Source organism: Homo sapiens, chromosome 4 (assembly GCF_000001405.40).
Source record: "Homo sapiens chromosome 4, GRCh38.p14 Primary Assembly".
NCBI lineage: Eukaryota > Metazoa > Chordata > Mammalia > Primates > Hominidae > Homo > Homo sapiens.
This window is the reverse complement of record NC_000004.12, coordinates 174,734,758-174,752,432: the sequence shown is the minus strand read 5'-3', so window position 1 is coordinate 174,752,432 and position 17,675 is coordinate 174,734,758. Positions and strand designations below refer to the sequence as shown.

General features: G+C 36.1%; 1 protein-coding gene across 8 annotated transcripts in view, besides 1 other annotated feature; it reads left to right on the top strand.

Annotated features, from left to right (window-relative positions):
- The window catches only part of GLRA3 (glycine receptor alpha 3), a 192,328-nt gene that overhangs the window by 76,815 nt on the left and 97,838 nt on the right, over positions 1–17,675 (top strand). The gene's annotated exons all lie outside the window — the stretch shown is intronic.
- Positions 7,676–8,257: an enhancer, noted in NCBI's record as "H3K27ac-H3K4me1 hESC enhancer chr4:175665327-175665908 (GRCh37/hg19 assembly coordinates)". NCBI's record gives its function as "activates a minimal SCP1, AML or CMV promoter by ChIP-STARR-seq in primed H9 embryonic stem cells {active_cell/tissue: H9 hESC(primed)}" and the evidence as "EXISTENCE:reporter gene assay evidence [ECO:0000049][PMID:30033119]".

The window sequence follows — 17,675 nt, the reverse complement described above, 5'->3', positions numbered from 1 at the left end:
ACTGGCACAAGACTTTCTACCAGAGGTAATAAGAGAATAGCCAGGTGCCTCTTTGAGCTTATGAGATGAAATTTAACCTCTTTCCCTGATGGAAGTCACTTTGTTTGCTTCAGGTTGTTATTTCACTGTTTCTCCCTATGAGCATCATTTCATACATTGCATCAGCTTCTCTTGTGTTTTTCTGCTCACTCCGTCTTTCAATGATCACTCACTGTGCTAATATACCCTACATCGTATGCTTGTTATATATGCATCTCAAGAAGCAGCTACTAAAAAGGCTAAAAATTCTGATTCTAAATATACTTTACTTCTTTTCATATTATAACTAGCTATAAAGATAATTGCTATTCCTCATCCATGCACTATAAGATTAAGATGATTAATCAAAATTTGACAGCAGACATAAAAAGAAATGACTATGCTTTGCATCCCTTTTCTGTTTAGTTTCTCCTAAAGCAGTGTTTCTCAACACTTTTTTTCATTATGCCTCCCTAAAGACACTTTTTAGACATCTTTTCCCTAATTGCCCTCCCCGTGAAATTTTAGTACTTCAGATGAACTGTAAATTTATTTATATGCTCTGTACATATCTCTGAATTATACATAAAAAGGGTAAGCATTCTTTCACCCACCAAGAACCAATTTTTGCTCCCTCAGGAACCATACTGTCCTCTTTGAAAATAATGTGTGCTCTAAAGTGTATATTTATAAGGATACTAATGAGTAAACTTGCCCAAGAGTAATATTTCTGTACTCATTACTCAGTGGGCTACGTAACAGCAATGCTGTCATATAATGGGAAGAGCACTGGGTATTCTGACGAGGAAGGGATTCATGATTATGCCCCTACCTATTTGCAAAATTAGTAATACTTATAAACTGGAGATCAAACTATATTCTCTTTTATTTTTGTATGAATTTATTCTTTGATGTTATTTTTTAAACTTTCTTTGTGTGCCTGCACACAAACACGTGTACTAATTATAAATACATTCAGACTTGTTTCACATTTATCTTCCACATCTGATGCAAGGGCCATATTACTTTCTTTTTCTGCTGTGATTATATTTATCTATTTATTTCACTCATAAAATGATTGTTGCATCCTGTCTTTCATTATTTGATAAAATTGTTCTCAAAATATTTACATGGAGTTCATTCTTGATGTCTCCTTCGATGGCAACAAATTCTTTGTGAAATTTACACCACACTTATGATGTTTCTATCATGCTTTAACCAGAAAAAGCTTCTATAAAGGTGTGACTTACTAAAAAATGTAGATAGATAGGTAGGTAGCAGGAAGGTAGGTAGGTAGATAGATGATTGATAGATAGATAGATAGATAGATAGATAGATAGATAGATAGATAGACAGACAGACAGGCTTCTCTTTTTTCTGGGTTAGCTGATATAAGGGTAAACTTTGTTTTGAAACTGTCCTAGATAGATCCCTATGTAAAAGTTCTTCATGAGACATTCTTAAGTTTTGTCTGAAAACTTCCCCTAAGAATTTGAAGATCATTAATTCATCTATCAGTAAAGCTTCCAGCCTAGAGATGTCCTGGGCCCTTTATTTCCCAGTGTTATTTTGATTATTCAAAACAAGTGGGATCTTCCTTAATGAGCTACCCATTTATTTCAAGTCTATTAACCTCCTGAGCAACCATCTGCAGTCAAAGATCACTAAGGTTTACATGTTATGAATACCACTCCAAAGCTGCTCCATTTATGATAACAGGATCCATTTTGCTACTTGGATTAAGTACTGCTAAGTTTTTATCTGTCACCTTGGCAATTATCACTATTGAAATCTGGGAGCTCATTTCAGGAGCAATATGTTCAGCTTACAGAGGACAGCCATCACAATGCATTTTTTTTTAAAGATGCTGGCCTTTCATTTACTAATATAATCTTAATCCCTTGGTAAATGGGCCCTCTTAGGGTACATAGCTGGGAAAAGAGAATTAAATGAGGATACATATTAAATCCGTTTCTATGTCTCTTATTTTCTATGTCTTTGGATGTCTCATATATGACAGACTAAGAAATTTGTAATATATAAACATCATTCAGCATAGTCCCCTGCTAGGCCCAGCTTTCAGTCAGCCAAATAACCCATAGGAGCCATTCCTGGCTATCTGAGCTAATACACAGCATCTAGAATCTCTGTAAACACACCTATAGCAATCAGTTTAGCCAATTCTAAAATTTTGTTTCATAATCCATGGTCTAGCACTCTCAGAATCTATTCCACATATAACAATTTATGCACAAAAAATGGTAAAATCTAGCACTTCCTTAGGATACAAAACTTCTCTTCCTTGGATTGAGTATAATTGGCTTTCTAGCTGCTTTCAGAGATCTACTCCATGAGGGCAGTGATGGAAGGTTGAGGTGGGATATAAGAAAAATAGGTATACCCCTCCTTCATCATACATGGGAGGAGGAGCTGCTTCTGCTAACACAAGAGCCTTAGATTTTGTTAGAATTTTCTAAATCTTCCCAATTTTATTTTTCTAATATTTGAACTTTTACTCTTTCCCAACCAAGGAGCTAACACTCATATATGTCACTCTGCAAGAGAGTGAATATAATGTACCTTTTAGTTTAGTAGTCCACAGATTAATCCTTTGTGTTTAGTTTTCAGCCCTACCATCTTCATCCATGAAGGTACAAGAGATAAGATACACATTCAGGAGAGTCATGAAAAATCCCTGGTTCTCTGACCATGCCTTAATATGAGAATTTAATTTTCTGCACCAGATTTTATTTTTTCTTTTAGCTCCCCAATGCAATCAGAAGCAGGCAACCCATTTCTCAGTCCCTGACTCCCTCATGCCTGTGACATTATTCTTTGCTATGGCTTTCAATACTTGGTTTGCAAAATCATGTACTTCAATTCAGGTGGCCATAGGTAAAAAATTTAACTGATTTTGCCACTGGTTTCTGTGTACTTCTAGTATCCTATCATTTAATGGATTCAGATATGCCTGGCCTTCAAACACAAATAGGCCAACTGAACAGTACAAAGTGCCTATTCCCACAACTCCTCTGATGGCAAAGATTGCTCCAGTTGCATTCAGTGGTTGTAACAGAAACCATGCCAGCCACCTCACAGAAAGGAATTTATTTCTGGGAATCAGATGTTTATAAAAGTACTGGAAAGCTGGGGGAGGAGGATTATACCACAGATTTGGCTTGTAAGCAAAGCTGCTACCCTTGCCTGAATCAGGAAGTGGGAAGGCTGCTACTGGAACAGTTGGCTCCAGGAACACACTGCTGAAATCTACGAATCGAGAAACAATAGCAGTCACTGAGCCGCAATTATAATTATTACTAGATAATTTACATTTATTTGTTCTTTCAACAATCATGAAACTAGTGACATGACAGGGAATCTCCATTGACACTACTGTGGAAAAACTCAATGATACTATAATCCCATAAATCCACTTGCAAGTAGAAACTCAGAATGAGCAGATCATGGCTTTGTCTCAATCTCCCACAAGTGCATGTAATTGACTAAACAGAAATCACATCAAGGTCCCTAGCTTTAATATCTTTCTATCTTTCTAATTTCTGCAATACTAGCTGACAGGTTACAAGACAGGTCAAATGGAGGGTGAGTGCTAGTCTTTCACACAAACCTACCCTTAACCTCCAAACCTGTCTTCTGATTCTCAACAGATGACCTTACCTTTGTCTTCACAGAAAACGTAGAGACCGGAACACAAGAAACCTTTTAGCAACCTGCCACCAAACCTAAAATTTAACCTGGGTATAATGTTCCTGCTGATACATTGAGGCATATTTCCCTCCTTTTATATAAGATTAGTTCCCAATTTTTTCTACATCAAATCCTGAAGTCCTTTTTACTCCAGGACCACACTCAATGTATTTCAACTCTTCTTTATGTGTCTTCTCCCTTTAATGTTTTGATTTGCTAACTGCCCTCCTAAAATGAAAGCTTTCCCTGGATTTGTTTATTTCTAGTTATTCCCATATTTCTCTTTCTATTCACAGCCAAATTACTTTAAATGGTTGTACCTGATGCTATTCCTCAATTCCTGGTTTTTCACCAATCGCTTCACTAAAATTGCTATTTCCAAAGTATTCAATAACAACAATGAACCACTTAAGCTTAAACTTTCTTGACATCTTTGCAGAATCTGCCACTGTTGATTATGCTCTTGAAAACTGTCTTACTTTGGCTTTTCTAATTCAACCATCTCTGGTTTTCTGACTCTCTGGCCACTCCTTCCCAAATCTATTTGCACTATTATCTTCTTTCTATTTCTTGAATGCCAGCCATTATTAAGGTTCAATCAGAGGCACTGCCTTTGCTACACATATGCTCTGTATGTACATTTATCCTTGTCCTTGGCTTTATGGCCATCCACATGTATAGTGGTAATTGTCCAGTCAATAGCTATAGCCCAAGTGTCTCCATGTGAAAGGCATGGGGAAGTATAAAACAAACCAAAATAACATTAAAACATAGTATTTGGAACAGCATATATATATGCTATAATGTTATTGGAACAGCATATATATATGCTATAATGTTAAAGGCAAGATTAACTGTACACTGACACAGTAGTCTAATCAGTAAGTTGGTTTCTCAAATATCTGAACTGATTATCTCCCTCAATTGTACAAATTCCTGGAGCTCATCATATCCAAATCTGCTTCACCTGTTTGCTATCTCATTGAGTCAGCCAGAAAATTGAGGACCTATTTCTTCCTGCCTTAAGCTCAATATCTAATGAATCACAAAGGCACAGCAATTCTACCCCGCAAATATTTCCCAGATATGTCACTTTTTCACCACTTTGGGGATCACCTCTCACTGTTGTGACAGGAACCGTCACAGAATCTAACTCTGCTCCTCCCTTACTACCCACCCAATCACTACCCTGGATCTTTCTAAAACTCAAATAAGATCTTGTCATTTTTCTGCTCTTTCATTGGCTCTCAAATAATTCCTGTTGGAGCAAAATTCAAATTTCCATGGCTTATACTAGCCCTGTATAATCTGTCTCACCTTAAGTCATCAGACTGAATTCTCGCCCCACCCCATCTCCTAACCCACTGTGCATTTCAGAATGCCCTTTGAACTCTTACTTTTTAGAGTAGCAATATTTTATCTCACATCTGTTCCTTGCATTTGCTGTTCCTTCATCGACTACTCTTTCCACCACTGCCCTTATGTCCTCGTTGTCTAACTCTTTGATATTCACCTCTTAGGTCACATGGCCACTCCTGAGTACAGCAAAGCAGGGATATATAATTCTTCTTCAAGGAAAGAGCCACAAAGGCAGAAGCCAGAATAATTGGTGACCAATAATAGAAGGATCCATAATATATGTAGTTTGATTATAATTATGTAAACAAACAAATTCTGAGTGTAACACAGACAAGCCCATATTCTTTAATTGTAAGACTTCATTCTTCCTGTGAGTACATGTCAATCTAAGATTCTGTCACTATTTTTCCCTCTTTTGTTGATATATTAGGTTGGTGCAAAAATAATTGCGGTTTTCACCATTAAAAGTAATGACAATTACTTTTGCACCAACCTAATATAATGATTTACATATTTATTGGGTACATGTGAGTATTTGTTTCATGCATAGAATGTGTAGTGTTCAAGTCAGCGTACCTGGGGCATACATCATTTTCACATGGGTTTACCATTTTTATGTATTGGTATCAGAAATATTGGTGGCAGATATTGGTATTGGTGACTCAGGAATTGTGTTGGTAACTGGTAACTATATTGGTAACTCTTCCAGTTACTGTGAAATATACATGATATTGTTGCTAAGTATAGCCATTCTCGTCCTCTATCAAACTCTAGAATTTATTTCTTCTATCTAATTGTATATTTATAACCATAACCAACCTCTCTTAATCCCTCTCTTCCCACTACCCGGTCTCCCCAGTCCCTGGTATCTATCATTCTATTCTCTATGTCCGTGAAGTGATGAGTTTTTTTAGCTCCCACATATGAGTGTGAAGGTGCAATATTTGTCTTTCCATACCTGACTTATTTCACTTAAAAGAATGACCTGCAGCTCTTTCCATGTTGCTGAGAATGAAATTATTTCAAACTTTTTTTAGGCTGAACAGTATCCCATGGTGTATATATGACACATTTTCTTTACTCATTCACCTGTTAATAGACAGTTAGGTTTATTCCATATCTTTGCTACTGCGAATAGTGCTGTGATAAACGTACAAGTGCAGGTATCCCCTTGATATACTGAATTATTTTCCTTTGGATAGATACCCAGTAGTAAGATTGCTGGATTGTGTGGTAGTTCTACTTTTAGTTTTCTGAGAAATCTCCATTCTGTTTCCCATAGTGGTTGTACTAATTTACATTCCTGCCAAGAGTGTATGAGTTCTCTTTTCTCTGCGTCCTCACCAGCATCTGTTATTTTTTCTTATTAATAATAGCCATTCTAACTGGCATAAGATAATATCTAATTGTGTTTTTTATTTGAATTTCCTTAATGATAGTGATGTTGAGCACTTTTTAAGATATGTGTTGGCCACTTCTGTGTCTTCTTTCGAGAAATGTATACTCATGTTTTTTGCCCATCTTTTAATGGGATTATTTGGAACTTTTTTTTTTTTTCCTATTGAGTTGTTCAAGTTCCTTATATGGTCCAAATATTAGTCACCTGTCAGATGAGTAACTTGCAAATATTTTCTCCCATTCTGCAGCTTATCTCCTCATTTTGTTGACTGTTTATTTTGCTTTGTAGGGGCTTTTTAGTTTAATATGGTCTCATTTGTCTATTTTTATTTTTGTGCCTATGCTTTTGAGGTTTTAGCCATAAAATCTTTGCCAAGACCAATGTCCTTTTTATAGGGAAAAGTCAGCACTTAAATGGGTCTTAAGTGTTAGACCCAAAACTATGAAAATACATAGTAAGTATACTTAAATGTACGACCTAAAACTGTGAAAATACATAGTAAGTGCTTACTGTTAGTCTGACGGTAACTACTTTAGGGGTGACTAGATGCTTTTCTCTTGCTGTTTTTAGAATTCTCCTTTGCCATTGACTTCAGACAGTGTGCCTATAAAGTGTCACGGAGACCATTTTGCATTGTATCTCTTTGGGGGACACTGGGCCTCCTGTATATGGATGTCTAAATATCCTGCTAGACTTGGGAAGTATTCATCTATTATTTCATTAAATAGGCTTTCAAACCCTTTTAACATTTCTTCACCTTCAGGAATACCAATAATTTGTATGTTTGGTTGCTTTATGCTATCCCACATATCATAAAGATTTTGTTCATTCTTTTTTCTTTATTTTTCCCTGAGTTATTTCAAAAGACCTGTCTTCAAGTTCTGTGGTTCTTTCTTCTGTTAGATTCAGTCTATTGTTGAAGCTTTTGAGTGTATTTTGCATTTTATTCGGGGAGTTCTTCAGTTACAGAATTTGTGTTTGGTTCTTCACTAAGATAGCTATCCCTTTTGTAAATTTCTCATTCATATCCTGAATTGTTTTTCTGATTTCTGTGTATTGTATTTTCAAAGTCTCTTTATCTCACTAAGCTTTTTTAATATCATAATTTTGAATTCCTTTTTCATAATTTTGTTAATTTCTTTGCAGTTGGGATCTGTTGCTAAGGAATTATTGTGTTCCCTTGAAGGCGTCATATTTCTTTGCTTTATCATGTTTCTGGTGTCCTTATGTTGATATATATGTAACTGGTGTAATAGTCATTTCTTACAATTCTTTGAATTCACAAGGAATGACTTTTTCCTGAATATGTATCAATGGTTTCAATTGGTTAGAACCCTTTGGCTTTGATTCTGGGTGCATGCAGTCGTGCAATCTTTGTATGATTTACTTGACTATAAACAGCATTGGTGGTATTTGTGATTTCCTCAGTGGTTTAGGGTACAGGAACTAGTGGAGGGTATGGTTAAATTTTGCTGGGGGCAGGGACGCCAGGTGGGCCAGTCTTTAGGTCCTGGTCCCAGTGGGGGTAGCAGGGTTTCGAATGTGCCTGTTCTTCGGCTCCCAGGGCAGCATACACCAGCACCTGTGTCAGTAGGACCAGGCAGGCCTCTTCTTGGTCCTCCAAGTGGCTTGCTCTGATGCCAGTAATGGCAGTCACAGGCCACGTAGGTGATTGCGTTCTTAGGTCCCTGAGCAGCCAGTGTGGTGTGGGCAATGGCAGTGGCAGTGGCACTACAACCCTCTGGGTCCCAAGCACCGCACGGTGGTGTTGCCAGTGGCTGCAATGCTGGGTTGCCAACCATAGCCCCAGACACATAGCTCTCAGGCCTAACTACTTTTGATGGCTGCAGCACCACAGCACCATACAGAGTAGGGGAAGAACCCTCTCCTTCCCTTGTGAGCCCAAGCACAAAGGCCATGCTACTAGTGGGGACATAGTCACCACTCACAGCCACAGACCGGCAGCCCTCTGGCTTGCCTGTCCCAGCCTACAATGGCAGCAGCAACAGCTGCAGCTGCAGTGGTGTATGGATCAAGAGAGGGGGTCCTGTTCTGTACTCATAAACCCAGGCACAGAGCTGTCACTTCTAAGATACATTATTTGTGTTTTTTTTCAATTTGAACACCTATTGTATGTAATATCTCAACTTTAGAAATTACAAAATGTTTCAAAAATGCACTAAATATCTATAAGAATTGTTGAAATCCACCAAGATGCAAGGGTTATAAGGAAACCTAAAATATCATGCAAATAGTACCAAATAAGCTTCACTATATCTTTACCATGAATCATCCTGGCAGGTACTTCTTTAATCAAGTGACCAAGCTAAACATCACCCATGAAACAGGTCTACATCATGTGCTATTGGAATGATGCAATGAGAAGGGCACAGTATCCTTTCTGCAGCATTTTTGTTAAAAAGGACTAATACCAATCTAATTATGAGAAAACATCAGACAAACCCAAACTGAGGGACATTCAACAAAATAACTGGCTGGTATATCTCAAAAAGTGTTAAGGATATGAAAGACAGAAAAAAATGAAAAAAGAAAAAAAAGACTATGGGGCTGTCACAGATTAGAAGAGACTAAGTTAAAAGCTAAATGCAATGTGGGATCCTAGATTAGATCCTACACGAGAAAAAAAGGGATATTAGAGGATATTAGATTCTTTAATTTTATAATCTTGAATTCTTTTTTCATAATCTCGTGAAATTCAAAATAGGTCTGCAGGTAAGTTAATGGTATTGTATCAATGTTAATTTTTAGGTTTCAAAAACTACTATGAATATGTAAAATATTAACATTAGCAGAAGCTGTATAAAAGGTTTACAGAAACTCTTATTTTCTGCAACTTTTCTGTAAGACTAAATTTAAAAGAGAGGAAATAGCTTAATTCTGAATTTCCTTTTGAAATAATTTTTATCCCACAACAGCTATGGATATTCCACAACAGATACAGAGTTTTATATAATCAAATAGGTTGTCCTTTCTTGATTCTTTTAAATGGGGAGGGTAAAGTAAAACAAAACAAGCCAACAGAATGGATCTTCAATAATTTTGCCTCTCTCTTCTATGGTATCATCCTTCTCCACCAACTCTGCTCCTAGGGACATAGATTGAGTTTCACAAGGACCAGGGAATCTCAAGAAAAAGAATGATGTATTCATAGCAATTATCTTCCAGTAATTTATATCCTTCTGGGAAAGGTGATGAAGCACCAGGGAACAGGCTTTAAAAGCTATCATTTTTCTGCTGAGATCATAAGGGCTTTGTAATTTTCTAATGGCACATATTGCAAGTCTGAATTTCCATCTATCTTCTTTTTACTCTCAAAACACTGAAGAAAAAGCAAACATCAGAAACAAAGGAGAGAGAGATTTTTCCTCCTTAAATTTCCCCATGAGTTTAGCAGTGTCTTGCCCTGTAAAAGCCCAGTGGCTATTTGATTCAGAATGCAACATATTTTTGCAATTCTCTTTCCTTTCTGGAGTTTCTCTTTCTTATTACTTATATTAAGACTAAATTGCTTGCTCTTGACAATTTTAGTACCAGAGTTATTGCAGAATATGTTATACAACTATTTCATTCTGAACAATACTCAAAGCAAGCTTTAGTGTTCCTACTCTTCAAATTATGTTTCTTAAAATAGCTTATTAAAAACCTCGAATAATATATTTTCTTACCCTCAACTTAATTAGGTGAGTCCTTGGTCAATATCCATTCACACAGCTTCTACTGATGTTAAATATTGAACTACAGATTCAATTTTAGCTTGTCAGCTTTCTAACAAATAAGATTTCTTAAAATTTTAACTATTATTTTTAAAATTACTTTCTTTTAACAACAAAATTGCTGTGATATATTGTGTTTTGTCATACCTGACTTTTTTGTTGTTTTTTAATCATTACTCTCACAAAAACCATGCTAGGGAATTTCTAGCTAATGCCAATTATTCTGTGTGTCTGAGCAAAAGAAAAAACATTTTATATATTTGGATTCAAAGATGAGCAAAACTCAGGTGTGAACAAATAACCTCTTGCCTCACACAGTTTTAAATCTGCTCTTCCTAGGTTCTGCACCATAAGAAAATAGCATTCTAATCTTTTCAACAAATAGTGTTGGAATAATTTGTCAACTATGCAGAAGAAAAAAATAAGCTGCAATACGTACTCATACCTCATACAAAAATTAACTCGTAGTTGACCGCAAACCTAAATATGAAATTTAAAATTATAAAATGATTAGAAGAAAACAAAAACATAGAAAATCTTTGTGACTTTGGGTTAGGTAACGAGCTCTTAGATATAACACCAAAAGCACAATTTAAAAAATATAAATAATGGATAAAGGGATCTTTATCATAATTAAACACCTTTATTTCTGTGAAAAATGCTGTTAATAGAAGGAAAAAAAAGCTACATGCTGTGAAAAAACAAGTTTGCCAATCTCATGTCTGGCAAAGGATATGTATCCAGAATAGTTATAAAGAACTCTAGAAACTTAATAGTAAAATAAAAACAATACTTTTAATGAGCAATTTAAATGTTTGTTACACTTCACTAAAAAGATATACGCATTGCAAATAGGTAGAAAACACTACTTGACATCATTAGCCATTAGCAAAATGCAAATTAAAACCACAATGAGAACAACTACACACATATTAGAAAAGGTGAAATTAATTTTTTAAACAAATCTGAATTTACTAATTACTGATAAGAGTGCAAAGAAACTGTAACTCTCATATATAATTGACGGAAGTGCAAATAGTACAGCCATTCTAGAAAACAGTTTAGCACTTTTTTTCTAAATGTAAACATGCACTTAATATGACCCAGTAATCTCACTCGTAGATATTTACTTACGAGAAACAAACACGTATGCTTACATAAAATCCCATACACAAGTGTATACATCAGCATTATCCATAATCACAAAATACTGGAAAAACACCAGAAGTCCATCAATGGGTGAATAAGCCCTGTGGCACGCCCGTACAATTGAATGCAACTCAGCAATTAGGAGGAATAAACTGATACACACAATAACTTAAGTCAAGAAAGAGCCAGACTCAAAATGTTAAATATTGTGTGATTCCATTTATACAACATTCTAGAAAAGGCAAAACAATGAGGATGAAGAAGGCATCACTGGCTTTGAGGGAATAGGTGTAGGGATGGTTTCAAGACAAAAGGGCAACACAGGGAATATCTGTGGGTGAGAGCTCTATTCTGTAACCTGCCTGTGATGGTGATTACACATCTCTATGCATTTGGTACAGATCTGTATGTAAGCTCTATCTGAATTTTAAAACAAATTAAAGCAGGAACATCAACAATAAAATGGCTTAAAACAACACCAATTTTATTAGGTCTCACATGTATGTGGATCAGGAATATAGGCAGGGATTTGCTGGGTAACTTTTCTGCTCCTCTTGTCATTGATATAAAATCTCTGGTTTCAGCTGGAGGATCAGCATTCAAAATGGTTTCATTCATATGCCTAGTGTCTTGGTGAGGAAGCCTGGAAATCTGGACCCAGCTGGGACTGTTGACCAGAGTTCTTACATGTGGCTCCTTCAGTGTAGTTTCTCTGGGGTTTCTAACTTCTGACATGGCAGCCAGCTGTGTCTCAGAGCGCTTCAAGAGACAGGGTAAAAGCTTTGAGGATTCTTACAACCCATAGGACATCTTTAATCTGACACAGTCGGCCTTCTAGTGACATTGTTTACATTCTTCCAATATGCAAAACATAAACACCCCTTCCTAAAGACCCCAGCTTTTTTGTCCCACTATAGCATTGTTTTGAAGTCTGGAATTGTGTCAACTAAATTAGATGCGAGTGCAAATGAGGTTCCCAAAAGGTGGATCTTATGATTCCTCTCGATCAAAAGACCTGTGAATTTAAGAACAGGTTTTCTATCCCACACAAAGTCAGCCTACAGAGGCGATACAGAATAGGAAAACTGCAATAGGGATAAGGTGTTCCCATTCAATAGGGAAAGGGTGATGGGAAGTACATTGTAGTCACTGGTTCATAGCAATTCTGGAGCCTGGGAAAGCATATCCTTCCAGTTACATTATTAAGGCCCAGTCCTGCTCCCAGAAAATGTGGATCTTGACTTTACCGTGTTGGCTCTTGTTTCTGCCTTCTGAGTCATCTTTCCTTTTCGGTAAAAATGAGCCATGTTTGCTACAAAGTAGCCTTTTCATACCGCTTCCTGCTCATAGAAATGTGGGAACCTTGCAAGCTCTTTGCATTTTGAACTGTCCCTGCCCATTTCAAATGAAGCCAATGGTGCTTCTACTAGTCTAATTCTCTTAACATTTTTGTGGGCTTCCTATGATTCTCTACCTTGGGTTGGGAATCAAGATTCTTTGAGATAATGCTCTTATGATTCTTAGAAACTTTTTAATCTAATTGAGAACATTTATGAGGCACATTTTTAATATTTCTGAAGTATAGGCAAGGGGTCGTAGTCACATCCTTGAGAAGATCTTTACCCAGAGCCCACAAAAAAGTGAAGTGGAATTTTTCAGGAATTTACCAGAAAATATTCTTGGCCAAATGCAACAGTTCATTAGTTGCATATTCTGTTTTCTACATTACTGAAATGAGTTGTCAAGCTTTCTGCCCCACAATGTAGGGGTGGATTTTCTTTTCTCTCCTCTAATAAGAATTTCCTTCTCATTCCTTTAACCATCACAACAATCTCTTCAAATCCTTGCAACCTACTTCTTGCTACCTGCTCCCAGAGTCAAGGGAACATGTTTTAAGTTTTCTTCTTAGAGCAGCACCCACTTCTAGTTTCCTAGTTCTATTCCAGTTGTTGCTGCATAGCAAACTATCCCAAAACTTTGTGGTTTATACAAAACAAACATTTCATTACATGCCATGATTTTGTAAGCCAGAGATCTGAGCAGGGCTTTACTGAGCCTTTTCTACATGGTTTGAACAGAAGTTGCTCAGTGGAATTCAGCTGGTATATGGGCATAGTCCCTGAGAGAAAATAATCTGCCACCATAAAAGAGACCTTGCCTATGAGATGGTGTCACTTGTGGTAAGCAGTATATTATGTGGCATGCTGAGTTATTTTGATAGCAAAAGGCCTGAATGAAAAGCAGTGAGATCTCAGTTGTTGTTCTTGTCCTACAATACACCACTGGTAAAGATGCTTAATTTAGTACATGTGTTCTCATCACTTCAAATAATTTTTTTGTCATGAAAGTATTCGAGTATAAATAGCAAGCTAATTTTACAGAGAAAAGAAATATCAATCGATTCCGAACAGATCAAAACTATAATGTGGAAATGAAATAATCATACTTAAGTATTTCTAAAAGTTTCAGCTGCAACATTATGCTAAACCTACACTAGGATTTACATTCAACAAAATATGAATTTCCTCAAGTTTACATGCTCAAATAGAAGGTAATACTCACAGGTTGCCAAATATTTGTATGCAATGCAAGAACACACCAAAATTTTGCAACCTATCTTTTGCCTGTGATACCCTACATTCAAATACCTTTATATATGTATGCATAAACCCAAATACCTGTAAATGTAGAAATATTAAAATGAGTGGTGTTCTCTACCCAAGTAGAAAATATCTAATGATTGATTACATTTTTCTTTTAATTCTGATTTTAATAGGTTATATATGTCTTATTCAGTTAAGAGTGAATTGTGGACTTTAAAATTTTATTTGTTGCAGAAGAAGCAAACATTTCATCTGTTACTGTCAAGAGCTGTCCTAAATGAGGCAGCAATATTCAATGATAGTTTCTAAAAGAAGTTAATTCCTCTCCAGCTTTACAGTACACTTAACCTCCACAGAGTTCCTTGGCCAATCTCCAAATCAATAAACAACTATGTAAGAATTATCTGAATTGCTCAGAAAGAAAACAAATGCAATTTATTTTTTTTCTTTGACATAATATTTCATTAACTAAAATTCTTCCAAAGTGGAACATTTTTCCTTTAATTTTTAACCTCTCACATTTCATAGTTAGTTGTATGCCATAAAAGTCCTCATGAATTAAAAAAATTCCCAAAGAAAATAAGTGGTTTAAATTTCTGAAAATTTAAATATCAGTTAAAATGTAAAACTGTGATAACAAGCATGAGCATTGGCTGGGCACCGTGGCTCACGCCTGTAATCCCAGCACTTTGGGAGATCGAGGCGTGCGGATCTGATGAGGTCAGGAGTTCGAGACCAGTCTGGCCAACTTGGAGAAACCCCGTCTCTACTAAAAATACAAAATTTCTCCAGACATGGTGGTGGGCACCTATAATCCTGGCTTCTTAGAGCTGAGGCACCAAAATTGCTTGAACCCAGGTGGCAGAGGTCACAGTGAGCTAAGATTGTGCCACTGCACTCCAGCCTGGGCGACAGAGAGAGACTGTCTCAACAACAACAACAACAAAAAACCACAAAAAAAAGCCTTAGCATTCAGAAAAATTTGAAAATAATTATTGGAATAATTATATTTATGTTCAGTTTTCTTACTGAGGACAAATGTCAAATACAACAAAGTTTTTGCCAATAATGTCTATTCCTTTGTTCTTATTTACTAAACCATATCTTTTATCAAATGCCAAGCTACTACGTGTTAATAGTTTAATAAAACTGTGAAGGGAAGTGTGAACCTTTAAATAGATGAAATTTTTAAATATGTGTGTGTATAACTAAAAATCTAGATATCTTTAAACTGGAAACACTTGAGGTAAACAAACTTGGTTCACATTATTTATTTTGGTAAAATTTGATCTTACACAGGCCCAAAATAAATCTTTTTTTCTTTGTTAGTTCTATAACATTAGTCCCAAATTACATATGATATTTTAAAAAAAACACTGATTAGTGTGAAGTAAATAGATAAACCCTGACAGTGTCAGATGTCGCTATCATGAAAAGTACTTGTATGCAAGATGAAGCTGTTAGGCCTTTACAAGCATCAGTATGATCCTGAAACTTTATATACAGGGCAATTTTACTTATTATTTCTTCAATTCCAAATTATTTTTAAAGCATCTAGTTTTATGCCTGAAAGTTAGTATCATTTTATTAATAGTAGCTATTGTTTTCATATTTTATGATGATTGTGGATTCCCATGGGTTTTATGTATAATACATATATACAGGCATTGTGATGGCTTATACATGTACATATACATCATTGTGTATAGAACACTCACTTCCAAAAATATATCTCTGAAACTATTACATATTACATATCACCTTACATACATAATTCTCTCAAAAAGGCCCTTCACACTTCTATAAACAAATGACCTCTGTGTTCTTAAATGTACCATAAAACCTTGTAAAAACTTATGCTAAGTGGAAGAAGCCAGATGCAAAAGGTCACGTATAGTGTGATTCTATTTATTTAAAATATCCAGAGTAGGTAAATCTATGGGGACGGGAAGCAGATGAGTGCTTGCCAGAGACTAGAGGAGGAGGAAAGGAGATCACTAACTGGATACAGGATTTCCTTGTGGGGTGAAAAAAATGTTGTGAAACTAGGTGGTGGTGGTGATGGCTGCGTAATACTGTAATACTGCATAATACTGTTAATGTATAAAATGTCTCTGATGATAAATGTTACGTATATTTGATCACGATTTTTTAAATTTTTAAATTTTTAAAATTTTAAATTTAAATTTATCATCTTTGATGATAAATGTTATGTATATTTGACCACAATTTTTTAAATTTTAAAAACACACATTAATAAAATAGAATACAGTTTATATCAGACATTTAAGGAAACACAGTAGTTAGAATGTCTTCAAAATCATTATGATTCTATGACACTCTTATCCACCTCAAAATTTTGAAGTATCTCCAACTTTTCTCAAAAAATTTTCTTCCCATTACTGGGAAGAAATTCTTAGAAATCTGATTTGAAGATCATTTGTAGTGTTGATTGATAATAGAATGTTCCAAAGACCAAATGATACTTCATTTCCCCAGAGATTTTCACTGTTTTAGGAGCCACGTCATATGTTCCAGTAGTAGAACAATTGTTTAGTGAAGGTCCAAAAATAATAGTAAGCAGATGCCCACATATTAAATATACAAAATGAGGCCAGGCGTGGTGGAATCCCAACACTTTGGGAGGCTGACGTGGGCATATCACCTGAGGTCAGGAGTTCCAGACCAGCCTGGCGAACATGACGGAACCCCATCTCTGCTAAAAAATCCAAAAATTACATGGACGCAGTGGCAGGTGCCTGTAACCCCAGCTACTTGGGAGGCTGAGGCAGGAGAATCGCTTGAACCAGAGAGGTGGAGGTTGCCATGAGCAGAGTTGGCACCACTGCATTCCAGCCTGGGAGACAGAGCCATGCTCCATCTCAAAAAATAAATAAATAAATATACAAAATACAAACTAATGTCTTATGTGTAAACGATTATGTTTATTTTAACATGTAAATTGTGTAATTAACATCAAGCAGCAATAAAATCAATCCAGAGACAATATTCTGTTGGAATGAGTGGATTTGTGATGCAAATTTCAGGTCATGAGCAAAAGTATTAGTAGACTTCCATGTCCATGTTGTCTAAACCAGGAGAAGTAGATGAGCTTCCTCTTCCTAGTGGGTTTGACACAAAATGGAGTAAATTGGAGTTTAGGAGCTGAGAAGTGGGCAGAAAAATGATGTAGAAACTTCTGCCATTTTTTTCTCCTACCCACAGGCTTGTTGACACAACTTGCTGTGAAGGACAGAGTGAAGTCCACCTGGTTATCTAGCCTTTTTTTTTTAAGGCTGAAAATTAGTCATACAATTAGCAGACAAAGGAGAATTGAATAGAAATATTAAGTGAGCATCAAAGACAGAAGGGGCTGGTGGATGAATGGGGGCTTGTGGAGCACAGCTGTGCAGCACCTTAGCGGGAGATTAATTTGTTACCTTGCAATCCAAGAGCAACAAAAATTACTATTTTTCATTGACAGCAAGCAGCTACTAGGAGTACTGGCCCTTTGTAGGTGTTTACACCTAAATCGAGGTGCCCACAAACTGAATGAGCTATATTAATTGAAATCAATTTATTTCAACTTCTGAAAGAGTGTTCCCATGAACTAAGTTTACCTCTCCAGAAATTATTGCATTCGAGTGTACAGAATGGGTAGTATTCTTAATGGAATACAGCTTTGTATTGTTTTTGCTAGTATTT